The following is a 14242-nucleotide window of genomic DNA, read 5'->3' as shown; positions in this document are numbered from 1 at the left end:
TGGATATTGGTGAACAGCAAATGTTGCTGCCTGAACGTTCCTCTGGAAGTTTTGTCTCAAAGGAGTACCCGGCCGTGTGAGGTGTCAGTCTGCCCCTACTGGGGGGTGCTTCCCAGTCAGGCTACTCGGGGGTCAGGGACCCACTTGAAGATGCAGTCTGTCTGTTCTCAGATCTCCAGCTGCTTGCTGGGAGAACCACTATTCTCTTCAAAGCTGTCAGACAGGGACATTTAAGTCTGCAGAGATTTCTGCTGCCTTTTGTTTGGTTATGCCCTGTCCCCAGAGGTGGAGTCTACAGAGGCAGGCAGGCAGGCCTCCTTGAGCTGCAGTGGGCTCCACCCAGTTCAAGCTTCCCAGCCGCTTTGTTTACCTACTCAAGCCTTGGCAATTGTGGGCGCCCCTCCCCCAGCTTTGCTGCCACCTTGCAGTTTGATCTCAGACTGCTGTGCTAGCAATCAGCGAGGCTCCATGGGCGTAGGACCCTCCAAGCCAGGCGTGGGATATAATCTCCTGGTGTGCCATTTGCTAAGACTGTTGGAAAAGTGCAGTATTAGGGTGGGAGTGTCCCCATTTTCCAGGTGCCATCTGTCACCCCTTTCTCTGACTAGGAAAGGGAATTCCCTGACCCCTTGCGCTTCCTGGGTGAGGCGATGCCTCTCTCTGTTTCGGCTCATGCTCTGTGTGCTGCACCCACTGTCCTGCACCCTCTGTCCAACACTCCCCAGTGAGATGAACTCAGTACCTCAGTTGGAAATGCAGAAATCACCCATCTTCTGCATCGCTCATGCCTGGAGCTGTAGACTGGAGCTGTTCCTATTTGGCCATCTTGGCTCCACCCTCACTTTTATTATTACTTTTGCCATTATGCAGTGTTAAAATAGGCCTTTACAGAAATATTCCTGTCTTTTTCTAAGCTCTGAAGTCTTTTTTTTTTTTTCTTTTTTTTTTTTAAGGGATGGACTCTTGCTCTGTTGCCCAGGCTGGAGCACAGTGGCATAATCTAGGCTCACTGCAACCTCCCCCTCCTGGGTTGAAGTAATTCTCCTGCCTCAGCCTCCCAAGTAGCTGGGATTACAGGCTCCTGCCACCAAGCCCAGCTAATTTTTGTATTTTTAGTAGAGACAGGTTTTCACCATGTTGGCCAGGCTGGTCTCGAACTTGCGACCTTAGGTGATCCACCTGCCTCGGCCTCCCAAAGTGTTGGGATTACAGGTGTGAGCCACCGCACCCGGCCATCTTTGAAGTCTTGATACTTAATCATTGAGAACTTTTAGAAAAATGTGCATCTAGCTTAATTTGTGAGATGTTATCTCTGATGTATATAATTTCTCACTTCAGTGTATATTTCACAGTTTGGAGCATGTTTGCTTCACATTTTTTAATTTGAAGTTGTAAGTTGTAGCTGCATTGTTTGTTTCCTTAGAATACAACCCACTATTCTTATCTTTTGTTCTTTTTCTGGGCTTAGGGGTAAGAAAATGTAAAAGCGTTTTTGCTGTGTCAGCTTCAGCTAGAAGTCCTCTCTTAATTTATGCTTAAACCCTGATATTGCATCCAGAGCACTCAGGAAAACAATATATATGTGTGTGTGTGTGTTTTAGGTTTTCTTTCCAGAATAGGTTTTAATATAATTAAATATATTTAATTATAGGTTTTAAATAATTAAGTTATGGAAAAGTTATAGAATGATTTCCTTTTTTTTCTGCTCCATTATCCATCTTTCTCAATTCATATTGGCATTTAAACTACTTACATAGATGGAAATGTTAATCATATGGTACAAGTATGCCTTGTAGACATCCCATTCCCAGAAGTTATTTTCATCTCATTAGGTGTCAACTGAGCAGAATGGCTGTATTCACAGTGGCCTCAGTATAGTTAGTGAGCAATCTCAGTGTCCCATTAAGACTGCTACACAGAATTAAATTAGTAACTGGATATTCAAGAGTTGATTTTCTTGTTCTAGGGTATGTTTTCTTTATCTTAATTGCCATAGATGTTACAAATTCAATTTATTCACTCTCTCTGGGAAGAGAGCTCCGTTCAGTTGTAATCAACCAATCCATATCCCGCCAATCTATTAATTACATTAATTTAATCTTGTATTAATTAAGGAATATTCATGGCTGTTGAACATTGTAATAGGTAGAAATAATCAGGAATCCAAATAACTGAATGATGCATTGGGAACATTGAATTATGAGAGAGAAGTTGCATAGTTTCAGGGTCTAGTTTTTGCTACTTATAAAAAAACCTAGTAAGCTACTCTTATAAAGCTTTATCAGTTTATCTCTATAGTGAAAGGTCTATGACCCACAGAAAAGCTAACTGAAATTAACAATGTTCCTTCCTAAATCACTTATAATCAACCAATTTTCAGCATTTTGTTAAGAACTTTCTGACTTCTTTTTCCATCAACTTCATTATAAAATATTTTCACATTTATAGTGATATTATATTTAATCATATTGTCTCCTTTTCTGCATTCACATAGAACTTGCAGTTGAAAAATAAACTTTGCCATTTAATTATATCATATTAATATCACATGTAATGGTTTCATTCATATCATCTCTTCCACAAGATGATTTTCAAAGGCAATAATCATATTGCAAAATAATATTAATATTTATTTAGTTCTTATATGCTTGGCACTCATGCAGTATGTAGCATATTGCTAAATGTTGAATATGCATCACATTGGAGATAACACATGTCATATGTCAAGCAGCTTAATATCTATGAAATTTTAGGAAGGAAATATAATAGCTTAAGTATAGGCTTTGGAGTCAGACAAATTGAGTTTTGATACTTGGCTCTTCTTAGTGGCTGTATAATTTTGGGTAAATTACTTAGTCTCTCTGAGACTACACTTCTGAACGATTAATACATTTCATAAAGTTTTTCTAAAGTATCTTCACATAGTAGATACTTACATGGTAACTATTTTTATTCATAATCTGACAGTTGATTACTATAGATGGAAATCTCTTTATAGTATATATTCCTGTCTCAACCAACATTTTACTCTGTCTGAACTTTATATCTTCATCTACTATCTCAAACATTCTCTTATCTCTGTCTATTTATGATTGATATATATATCTCAAAGTTCAGACAAAGTAACATATTGGTTGAAACAGGAATATAGATATATATAATATATATTTATATCACATAATATAAATATATATCTATCTCATACTTGGTCCTGTAAACACAATGCCTAGATGATCTAGTCAACTGTACCCAAAGAGTGTATCAATATCTAATATGAGCACAATACATACTAGTTGTTATTGCTGTGTAATCTATATCTGGATTTGAAGCTTATTTAATTTAAATAATTCTTGGATCATTTCTTGATCTCACAGCAAACAGGATCTACTTCTACCAAGGTAGCTTTAAAATGCTGGATATCCCATATAATAGCAATTATGAAAGGGAGACATCACCAGAAAATAACTATCTTAGCCAAATTCTTGAGACTAGGTAAGTTAGTATTTTCCTATATTTCATTGTTAATTCTCTGAAATATAAGTACTGGAATTTGATATTTGACTCTATTTTCTCTGTTAACAGATGGTTGATGCATTTCAAAGTTCTAGCATTTACAGACAATATATCTTTTCTCAAGTCATCACACTGGTGTAAGTAACCAACATTAACCATCAAAAAAGAGATCAACTGATCATACATACCAGGACACTTCAAATTTCTCTGTGAAAAGAATCTATTGATATGTTATAGTCCTTAGCCAATAAGCTATGAATATCAAGCATTATCATAAATGTCAGACTAATTTTTCAATATGAAACCTAAGATTGGGGCCATATAGTTGAGTTCACTAGATGTATTGAGGATACATTAATCCTCAAATTATAAATGTGTCATCCTTTTGGTTTCCTAAATATTTATGTTCAGAAAACATTAGATAGTCCCATAGACCAATGTTTGATGCTCTAAAATTTTTATTTAGCAGTAGCATAAATATAGATCCTGTTTTCTCCTGTCTTTTGACTTGCAAGTCAGCTAAACACTTTGTGGAAATACCCCTAGAATTCTTAGTAGATACAGGTTAGGAGACAGCATATTTACACTAGACTTTGAGATCAAGAAAACCTTCTAGTCACCATAATAAGAAGTAAAATAGCTATGCTGTGTTCCCTACATGTGGGTTTGGAGTGGCATGAACTAGCCGAGGTAACCATAGAATAGATTTAGACAACCTGAGCCTAGCCTTTGCCATTTAATAGCCCTAGAGTCTTTGGCAAGTTACTGTATCGCTTTGAATCTGTTCCACTATCTCATTACATGTTAGTAGTAATACTTGCTTTGCCTCACTCACAGAACAGTACTAAGGATAAAAAAGAAAAGAAAATATGTGTGGAAACACTCACAAATAAACACATTTCAGATGAAGGCAATTATTGCTTTTATTTCCATCAGTGTCGCAGGACTATGTCTGCTCTTCTTCCCTGCTCATGGGACTCCTGGAATTGTAGAACAGATTAAGCTCTCAACTAGCATTAACATTGGAGGTCAATTTTGGTATTGAACATAAATGTGAGATTAAAGTTGAAGGGCCCAGATATCTCTCAGAGATGACTGCAACCACGGGAGATGTCTCTGTTTTGTTTTCCCATGCATGTAAATTCAAGTATCTATAAACAGCATGGGCCAAAAGGCAGTCATGAAGAGGTCACAGGACAAAGCTTTTCACTTTAGCATACACTGCTATAATAATCAAACTTATGTGACCTGAGTGCTTCCCAGGAATTATTATTGATTTATGTGCCAAAATATTGAACATCCCTGAGGAAGCCTCAAAGCATAATAATGTTACTTCAGACACAAGCTTCAGGACTCCTTAACAATTCCTGCGTGTCTAATTGGCTAGCTCCTCAGGCTGACTGCCCTTTTCCTGTTTCCAGACAAATCTTCCCTAAAACTCATGGTCAGATTAATTTTCCTCAAATACAGTTTACCTCAACAACTTTCCATCACTGCTACCCCTCAGCTAGCATTAAAGATCCTCTTCTGGTTGAGCCCAATCTCCTAGACACTGCCATTACTGTATGACTAGGCACAGAGTGACAGTGTACAGCATACAGACAGCTCTGTAAAGAGCCCAGGTTATGCAGTCAACTGCACTAAATCTAAATCCTAGTGTAGTGTGTACTTACTCTTGAATACATTATATAACTTCCCAGAGCCTCAATTTTTCCTTGTCTATAAAATGAAGATAACACCTATGCTGCAGGATTGTTGTGGAGACTGTGCTAATAAATGTGATAGCAAAGTACATTGGCTACGTAATACAAAGTACATTGGAATATAGCAGATGCCCAATCCATGCTAATTAATATTATTGCCATCAATTATTCTGAAGAAATATTCCTTCTCATCTCTGCTTTATGCAATTTTCTGCTTGATAATGAAGCAGAAACAAAAATACATTAAGTTTCATTGTGTATGTCACTTCCTCCATGCAAATTTCTCTGATCTTTTATGTAAAAAATGACTTGACCTTCCTGGGAATATCTCCAGATAAGATAAATAAATTATTGCTTCCACCTCATTTATTTTAGTAATTTGTATATATGTTTTATCTTCCCTAAAAATCTACAATTTCCTTGAGAGTAGAAATTGTGTCTTAGTCACCCTTGCATCACCTAATAGCACCTAGCTCAGTTGCTTGTCTATAGCAGTTGTTCAACAAATGATTGATGAATGTATTAATAAATCATCCCAATTCTTAGGTGATACCTTTACCCTATGCCTCAGGCAACTCTTTTTTTTTCTTGAGACAGACTTTTGTTCATGTTGCCCAGGCTGGTGTGCAGAGGTGCGGTCTCGACGCACTGCAACCTCCACCTCCCAGGTCCAAGCAATTCTCCTTCCTCAGCCTCCCAAGTAGCTGGGATTACATGCACCCACCACCATGCCTGGCTAATTTTTTGTATTTTTAGTAAAGATGGGGTTTCACCTTGTTGGCCAGGCTGATCTCAAACTCCCGACCTCAGGTGATCTGCCCGCCTTGGCCTCCCAATGTGTTGGGATTACAGGCGTGAGCCACCACTCCCGGCCTCCCTTTTTTTAGATTTGTGTAACTGCTTGTCCTCTATATTGAATAATACAGCTGCATGCATACTGTCACCAAGCAAATATAAGAGGATGGATGGTCCTGTGCTTAACCTAAAGGTACTCCACAAACCCACAAAAGAGCAGAAGAAACCAAGCTATGAAAGATCAGACAAAGAGGAAGAAAATGCTGTTTTCAGCAACATATGAAAACTTTATGTTGTTTCCAGTCCTGATAACAACAGAGTGACAGCACATATATGGCTGGTATTCAAGGGTCCAAGATCAATGAAAGAAAACACAAGAAAAAGAATTGAAAGTATCTTACATCAGATGCTGAAGAACCACTCAGGATCCTTGACTACAGATCTGAATTCTCTGAGGCTTATGGGTAAGCTCATGATGGGAGTGGTGTTACTTTCATCATTTTATCCCTAGCATATATCACAAATATCAGACACAAAACTGATCTTCAATATTTTCAAATGAATGTCACTTTTATATCAGAGCAATTATTTGTATTCTTCACTATTAAAAACACAATCAAATCACAATAATACCAAACCTTTTACTTGATTCAGGGGTGAGGGCAGGCTGCTTTTCATTCAAAAGCAGATATTGATACTTTAAACAGTCCTTATAAGTACTGATGTGTCTTGCTAATCTTTTAAAAATCTCCTATAACTTTCAAAAACAGCAGTGGACCCACCATTATAAGACAGGTCACTTTTTAAAAGTTATCTTTTTGTATACTGACAGGAATTAGGTTCACTTGTAGGGAATTCCTCTTCTTCTAAGAAAAGACACTCACAGTTTTCCACTTTAGATGATGTAGAATACAATTCTAATCAAATAAGAAAGAAGTCTCTCCTGCGGAGCCATGAAGATGGTACCTCCATATCATACATTCATGTATAGTAAAAGAACAATTCCAATAAACCAGTGTTCTCTCCTTTGTATTAACACTTTATTTTGAAATTTCAAATTATTTACGGACTCTTCTGCCCTGCTTGACCTATCGTCTTAATCCATCGCCCCAAGGTCAGAGGTGCTAGGTTTTAAATTTACTATGAATTTTTTGTTCTATTTCAGAAATCAGTAAGGTCAGTGCTGCAAAAATTATCAACAACCGTAAGTTCAGATACTTTTTAATTAAATTTATGAGGTGATCTAAAGCACAGCAATCATGATTTGTTACTATTGGTTAGGAACAGTTCTAAGTGTTTTACATATACAGTAATTCATTTAATATTTGTAACCATCCTACAGATGGTTATGATTATGATTCCATTTTTGAGATGGGGAAACTGAAGCACAAAGAAGTGAAATGATTGCCCAAATTCATCCAGCTTGTAAATGGCGAGGCCAGAATTCAAACTCAGGGAGTCTGGTTGCAGAGCATGGACTTAACCATAACTTTATCTGCCTTCCACAGCTCACACATTCTCCAAGTGCTGGTGTCTTGGAGACAGTATGTTGGGTATGCAAGCAATCCACTGGCTGCTAGTGATTCCTGTACAGATTACACTGTACCTATCAGCACAAGATATTGTCAGATATAACCACACAAAGCCAACTCAGCTCACTCTCTGCTTTGTAATCAAATGTTATTTTCCTATTTTTAATGAAGCAAAACTGACTTTTTCTGACAGGCTGTGGGAGACGAGCAAGGATGCCACCTACATTTGATAGAGTCAGGGGAGGTTCCATTGATCAGGAAGGAGAATGACCATGACAAGCAAGCCTTAAAATGAGTGGGCAACACTACTGTGGGGCATCATTGATCAGTGAAAGACACTTGGTGACTGCAGCTCACTGTTTTAAAGTGTTAAGTTCATTATGTTGCCCAAAGCTACAGAAACCAAAGGCTTTGGAGGAAGTTCCAGTTTGCACCTGTTATCCCTGTTTAAATATTAGCAGCACTCCCTTTCATTCTCAAAAGTGTCCCGGTTTGGAAGAAAAATTATATGGTAAGCCTATCTAAGACTTTCCTAACTTTTCAGTAAAAATGGGAAGAGTCATTCATTCTGGACAGTGCATTTTTTCTTCACATGATACTCACCTCTCATCACTTTATAATACAGACATCCTAAACTACTTGTAGTTGCTGAAACACATTCTATTTCATATGTACCTTCCTCTCTGCACATGCCTGCCCCCATCTCCTTGCCTTTTAGGCAAATGCGACTTAGTCCATAGTCTTATCCAAAATGCTATTTTCCCTAAGAAATCTTCCATTCCTTTAAGAATACAGATTTAAGTCTTCCTATTTTGTAGTCCCACTAATTATATACACCACTATTTAACCTATTATAACTGCTAGTGTTTACACCTACCTTTCACCAGATTTAAACTTTTCGATGGCATGGCCATTTATTTTTATTCTATTCCCCCATTGCCTTACATGGTGTATGGTGTAGGAACTCAAGATTTTTTCAAATGAGTTAAAAATCAGATTATATCATTGCTAATGGACTATAGAGCAAGGAAATATTCATGCCAAGAAAAGAGTACAGTAGATGCAGAATGTATCTCTATTATCTTGAAATAAGTACAAAATACATGATTTTTATTTCTTTAGGACAAAAAATCCAAAAAACTATACTGTCAGCTTTGGCACGAAAGTAACTCTTCCCTATATGCAACATGATGTTCAACAAATTATTATTCATGAAGACTACATCCAGGATGAACATCATGATGATATCGCACTTATACTGCTCACTAAAAAAGTTTTATTTAAGAATGATGTACATCGAGTTTGTCTTCCTGAAGCCACACAGATTTTTCCACCTGGTGAAGGAGTTGTTGTTACAGGATGGGGAAGACTTTCATTTAATGGTAAGATCAGTGAAAACTTAACATACCATGTAAGGTACAAAAGCAACAGGAAAATAGTAATCTAGGTGTCAAGTGAAAGGCATCACTTACCTCCAGATGTTGAGTGCTCTCAGACAATCTCTTAGGGAATGATGCATAGGGAGTTATGACTTTGCAAACTGCCTGGGTTTCAAACATTCCAAGGAAACCAATTTGGTTGTAGAACCTCCCTAACCTGGAAAAGCCAATTGAGAAAGCTCTAGTCCAAAGATGTAGGAAGAGAGATAAAGAGAGACAGGCAACATTAGAAACATATTTCAAATTATAATTTGAACATCTCTTTGTTATCATTTTGAGTGAGGAAAGTGAGTGGGCTTTTCATTCTAAAAGTATGCAACAGTCAAACATGGGTCTTATGTACAAAGGATAAATCAAGGTCATCCAGCTCTTTCAGCTTGTTTGCTGATAATATTTAATTCCTTTAGGTAAACACCTAGTGTTCCTTTAGAAAGCATCTGTGAAGATTACTGATACAAACACTTGTAATGCTAAAGAAGCCTATCGTAGTATGGTACAGGATAGAGTGCTATGTGCTGGGTACATGGAAGGAAATATAGACGCCTGCCAGGTAATTCTGGCCATTATTTACATTGACCAATAGTATATAAATAACTGCTCTTACTTTATGAAAATCATCAATATGGAGACAATTCTATACTTCAATTAATTTTCACTTTTCCAATCCTGTCAAAGTGCCTCTCAGCTTTGGCACTAAAGTAATTCTTCCCTACATGCAGCATATGTTTTTAAGTGTTTAACAAACATTTATGCTGGACTTATTCTGAGTCAAACACTGTTCTAAGTCCTCTACAAATATTGATTCATTTAATCATCATTACACTCTTATGATGTAGGTAATACCAGTATTCTCATTTTATAGATGAGGAAATAGAAGCAGAGGAAATTTTAGTAATTTGCACATCATAGCTGGTATACAAACCTAGGCTGTCCAGCACCACAGTCCAGATTCTTAGCTACATTTCAATAAATAATCAGTCTCAGAATTTTTTCAATTACTTTTCGCCCATTTGAAATTCCTCTCACTTTCTTACCCCCTCATGGTTAGAGTTCTGCTACTTTTCTCAGATATGAAGTCCTATATTCCAAGTATATTCATATGTCTCCAAAGTTTTGTCACGGAATTAAAGCTTGCAACTTATTAAATCACACCTTTGGTGCAGTAGCTCATGCCTGAAATCCTAGCACTTTGGGAAGCCAAGGCAGGAGGACTGTTTGACATCAGGAGTTCAAGACCAGCCTGGGCATCACAGTGAGACCTCATCTCTACAAAAAATAAAAAAAATAGCTAGCTCAGTGTGGTGGCATGCCTGTATTCCTAGCTACTCAGGAGGCTAGGTGGGAGGATCGCTTGAGCCCAGGAGTTCCAGGCCGCAGTGAGCTGTGATTATGCCACCGCACTCCAGGCTGGGAGCCAGAGTGAGACCTTGTCTCTAAAATATAAATAAATTTTAAAAATAAATCACACCTTTCAGTTTCAGGTAAACTCCAGAGTCCTAGGCAAGGTATTCTGGTCAGTCACAGTTAAGGTTAATGGTGACACAGGGATTTACACCGTGGGTAAAATGCTAATGACTTACAAACTTTATCTGGGGTGATCATTTAGTGTAAAGTATCTGAAAGGAAATTCTCACAATGATAAATATTCTTTTTTTTATTCAGGGAGACTCTGGAGGACCACTAGTTCATCCTAATTCTCTAAATATTTGGTATATTTGGTACCTTGTTGGAGTAGTGAGCTGGGGAAGGAATGAATGTGGTGCAATCAATAGTCCAGGGGTCTACACGTGAGTGACCACCTACTGCAACTGGATTACCTCTGAGACGGGTGTTTAACAGAAAATCATCTCCTAGCAACTATTGTAGTTACTCCTAAGCCTTATTTAACATGCATTTTAAATTAGTGTGTACAATGGCTGTTTTGAAAGAACTGCCGTCCTGAGGGAATATTTGTGGACTTCTAAGCCAAATCAACAAGACAAAATAAGACACCTCAAGTTTGGTCCAGAAAAGCCTAAGCAAAGACAGTGTTCACATCAAAAACAGACTATTATAATATGAATTATTTTTCTATTTAATTAACTCACATCATGGCTATCTCATCACAGCATAAACTCTTGGTTTTTGTCATTCAGACTTTCTAGAATTGTGAAAGTGTGTCCTTGTCCATGGCAAATTAGTCACTGTGAGTGACTGGAATCAATACTTTATGCTGATTGGGTTGGAATATGCTATATCTGCCTTCATGTCATAGCTTTTGTGGAAGGGGTGTGGTTGTGACCTAAATCTAGTCTGAATGTAGGCACTGAGTTACACTCTTTTATTTGTATGGGGTCTTGGTCAATTCTTGCAATCATTGTGAAAGAATTACACCATCAGCAAAACCAGGCAAAACAGCACATTTTAGACTTACTGTGACCAGGCAGAGTAGTAGTTCTTTACTGTTGTTACAAGTTTCTGTGGAAATTCCTTATTTGTAACATATTTTGAAAAAGTCTCTATGCACCCTGAAAATGTGTAATGTATTTTAATTAAAACAAATTTAAAAGCAAACTGTTCAATGACAGTTTTCTTTTTGGTTTTTGTTTGCTTTTTTGAGAATTCGTGGGTGGGTTTTCCTCTCTTTCTCTTTTTAACCTCTTTTTCTGTAAAAAGAAGGGTTGCTTCTACTTGGACCATAGCTTGGGGGAAGGCACGGGGTGGTTAAAAAGTATCTTGAGGGCCGGGCCCGCTGGCTCACGTCTGTAATCCCAGCACTTTGGGAGGCCGAGGCGGGCGGATCACTTGAGGTCAGGAGTTCGGGACCAGGCTGGCTGACATGGTGAAACCCCGTCTCTACTAAAAATACAAAAATTAGCCAGGGGTGGCGGCTCGCGCCAGTAATCTCAGCTACTCGGTAGGCTGAGGCAGGAGAATCACTTGAACCGGGGAGGCGGAGGTTGCAGTGAGCTGAGATCACCACTGCACCCACCCCAGGCAGGGAGACTCTTTCAAAAAGAAAGAAAGAAAAAAAATGTATCTTGAGGTTGAAGGGAGCGGCTCGGGTGGACGCTTTCCCAGGTCTGACAGAGGGATGTGGCCGGTGGGCCTCTTGAAGGCCCCTGGGGGCCGCAGGCTCCTTGCTGCGCTGGAGGAAGAGGCCTGCCCAGCGCGGGTTGGGCCCCTCCAGCCTGCTGAGTCTGGTCAGCATGAGTTTCCGTTCGCGGCCTAGGAAGTGGTTCTCCAGGAAGCCGCAGGGGTGAGAGTCTGCATGCTTTGCGCCCAGGGCGTGCAGATCCAGCAGGGCCTGGTTCAGGTTCGTCTCCAGGGCCAACGCGGCTCGCAGGGCGCCCAAACTGCTGTCCTATTCATCCCAGGACGGCTTCTGGATGGCATCGCAGAGGGCTCCGCGCTGGTTTTGCGTCTTCCACAGACTCTGGGCGCCCTGTCGCTTCTCCTGGGCCAGCTCTCAGAAGTGGCCCATGCCCTCCAGGGTCACGTCGTCGCGGTAGAAATGGAGGATGAGAGAGAGGTAGGTAAGGGAAGCCCGCAGCTGCCGGTGGACCAGGCTGCTGACGGCGGCTTCCACTTCGGTGCAGTAATTCTGGCTGATGTGGGAACTCATGGTTCTTTGGAAAGGAGCTAACCAGACACGCACACAAAAGAAAGGCTGAATTGGTCTTGGGCTGGGGGATGATGGGAAGGCCCAGAAGATGGTTCTGGAAGCTGCGGTGGGGGTAGGGGTGTGGGGAGAAAGTTAAGTAGGGGCCAGAGACTGGAGGCGGGAAAGAAGGGAGTTCAAGAAGGAGGTAAGCATGGTATGTCTGCAGGTGGGTTTTTTGTGTGACACAAATGTTAATTTCTGGCCATAGTCCCAGTCCCACAGTCCCCAGAAGCGAGCCTAGGGCCCTGTTTTATGAACCACACAGTCTCCAGGCGTTAAGTGACTACAGTCTGTAATATTCACTTTTAAAAAGTTAAAATTTTTATCGGTATTTACTGAACATTTGATTTAGTGTCTTGACAAGTCCTTATACAGTATTTAAATTTTATTTGAGCTTCAATGACCTAGATTAGATATATGAGAAAATCTTTTACTTACTGAATTTTCTTCTTCCAGAAAGTGTGGATTTCACACTATCTACTGATAGCCATTTTGCATTTACCAAAGATCTAAAATAAGTATATGTGTAATAATAGTTGTCCTAAAATTTTATTAAATCACTTTTAAATGGCATTTTTAGTTCCTTTATATCATAAATAAACTCAGTTTCTTAAAACATTGAAATACCAAAGGCCTTTTAAAGTAGTCTTAGCATATTAAATTTCAGTTATTAATGATCTTGATATTTAATGCCTTTGGTGGTAATTAACATTACATATTGTATTCATTATCATCATCATAAATGAAACAGCAGTGCTTAACATTACTGAGTTGTTACTATGTGTCAGGCACAATTCCAATGACTTTGTCTGTATTATCCCAATTGATCCTTCTGTCTATTCCATGAAGAATACTATTATTATTTCAACTTTATAGATGAATAAACAGATACCAAGAGGTTAACAACCTTGTCCAAGAATGCAGAACAACACCCACTTTACACAATCCTGCCTCTTAGTCATAGAAGTCCAGGATAAGGAAGTGATTTTAACCAGAGATGTTGACAATTCCCATTTTTGTGGGAGTTTTTGTTTGTTGGTGTTATGTGTTTGTGTGTTTGCTTGCTTGCTTTTTCTGAAAAGAGTGAAAACTCCTTATAGTTTTGGGTAATACCTAACACTAGTAAGAAGTCCACGCTGGGGAATGACATCAGCATTACTTTCACAAAGGCATTTATATTTGTAGGGTATTTTATATTTCTCACTTGAGCCTATGTAAAAATGCCCTCTGAATCATGGTCTGGCAAATTTGGCTGTCATTCAGGTGGATCCTGGATGCCTATTCATCTAGAAGGGGCAGAGGAGATTAAAGGATCTAGTCTTGGGGTGGGGGTAGGAGTAGAGATTATGGAAAGTGATACTAGTGACTGCTAAGATTCTAATTTTGTAATTTTATGTTTTTAAGCCTTCAGATGAAGTTTGAATACTAGTGTAATTGTTCTATGTGAATCCATGCCAGAACTCTATCTGGGAGTTGGAATCTTTTTTGCTCCCATCTGTCTCTGAGAGCCAGAGTTTATTAATGTGGAATAGAAAACTCCATTTTCTTTGTTAAAAAATCATTTTTTTTTCAAATAAATATTTGTATACCTTAAAGTGAAAATAGCTTGATGGTATC

The 14242-nt window shown here is 38.8% G+C and overlaps 2 pseudogenes across 2 annotated transcripts in view; one reads left to right on the top strand and one right to left on the bottom strand.

Moving 5' to 3' along the window:
• The window catches only part of TMPRSS11BNL (TMPRSS11B N-terminal like (pseudogene)), a 33952-nt pseudogene extending 23182 nt beyond the window's left edge, over nucleotides 1-10770 (top strand). Inside the window, exons 3-10 of the transcript NR_104048.1 lie at nucleotides 3375-3492; nucleotides 3583-3648; nucleotides 6315-6475; nucleotides 7177-7219; nucleotides 7737-7911; nucleotides 8666-8925; nucleotides 9390-9532; nucleotides 10645-10770. The product of NR_104048.1 is annotated as a TMPRSS11B N-terminal like (pseudogene) (transcript). The remainder of the gene's footprint in view (nucleotides 1-3374; nucleotides 3493-3582; nucleotides 3649-6314; nucleotides 6476-7176; nucleotides 7220-7736; nucleotides 7912-8665; nucleotides 8926-9389; nucleotides 9533-10644) is intronic.
• The window catches only part of FTLP10 (ferritin light chain pseudogene 10), a 30179-nt pseudogene extending 17572 nt beyond the window's left edge, over nucleotides 1-12607 (bottom strand). Inside the window, exons 1-2 of the transcript NR_015446.2 lie at nucleotides 11396-12607; nucleotides 9016-9139 (exon numbers count right to left, since the gene is read on the bottom strand). The product of NR_015446.2 is annotated as a ferritin light chain pseudogene 10 (transcript). The remainder of the gene's footprint in view (nucleotides 1-9015; nucleotides 9140-11395) is intronic.
• Between the last annotated feature and the right edge of the window lie 1635 nt (nucleotides 12608-14242).

The sequence above is a fragment of the Homo sapiens genome, chromosome 4 (genome assembly GCF_000001405.40).
Source record: "Homo sapiens chromosome 4, GRCh38.p14 Primary Assembly".
In the NCBI taxonomy this organism is placed as follows: domain Eukaryota; kingdom Metazoa; phylum Chordata; class Mammalia; order Primates; family Hominidae; genus Homo; species Homo sapiens.
This window is presented reverse-complemented; position numbering and strand designations above follow the sequence as displayed.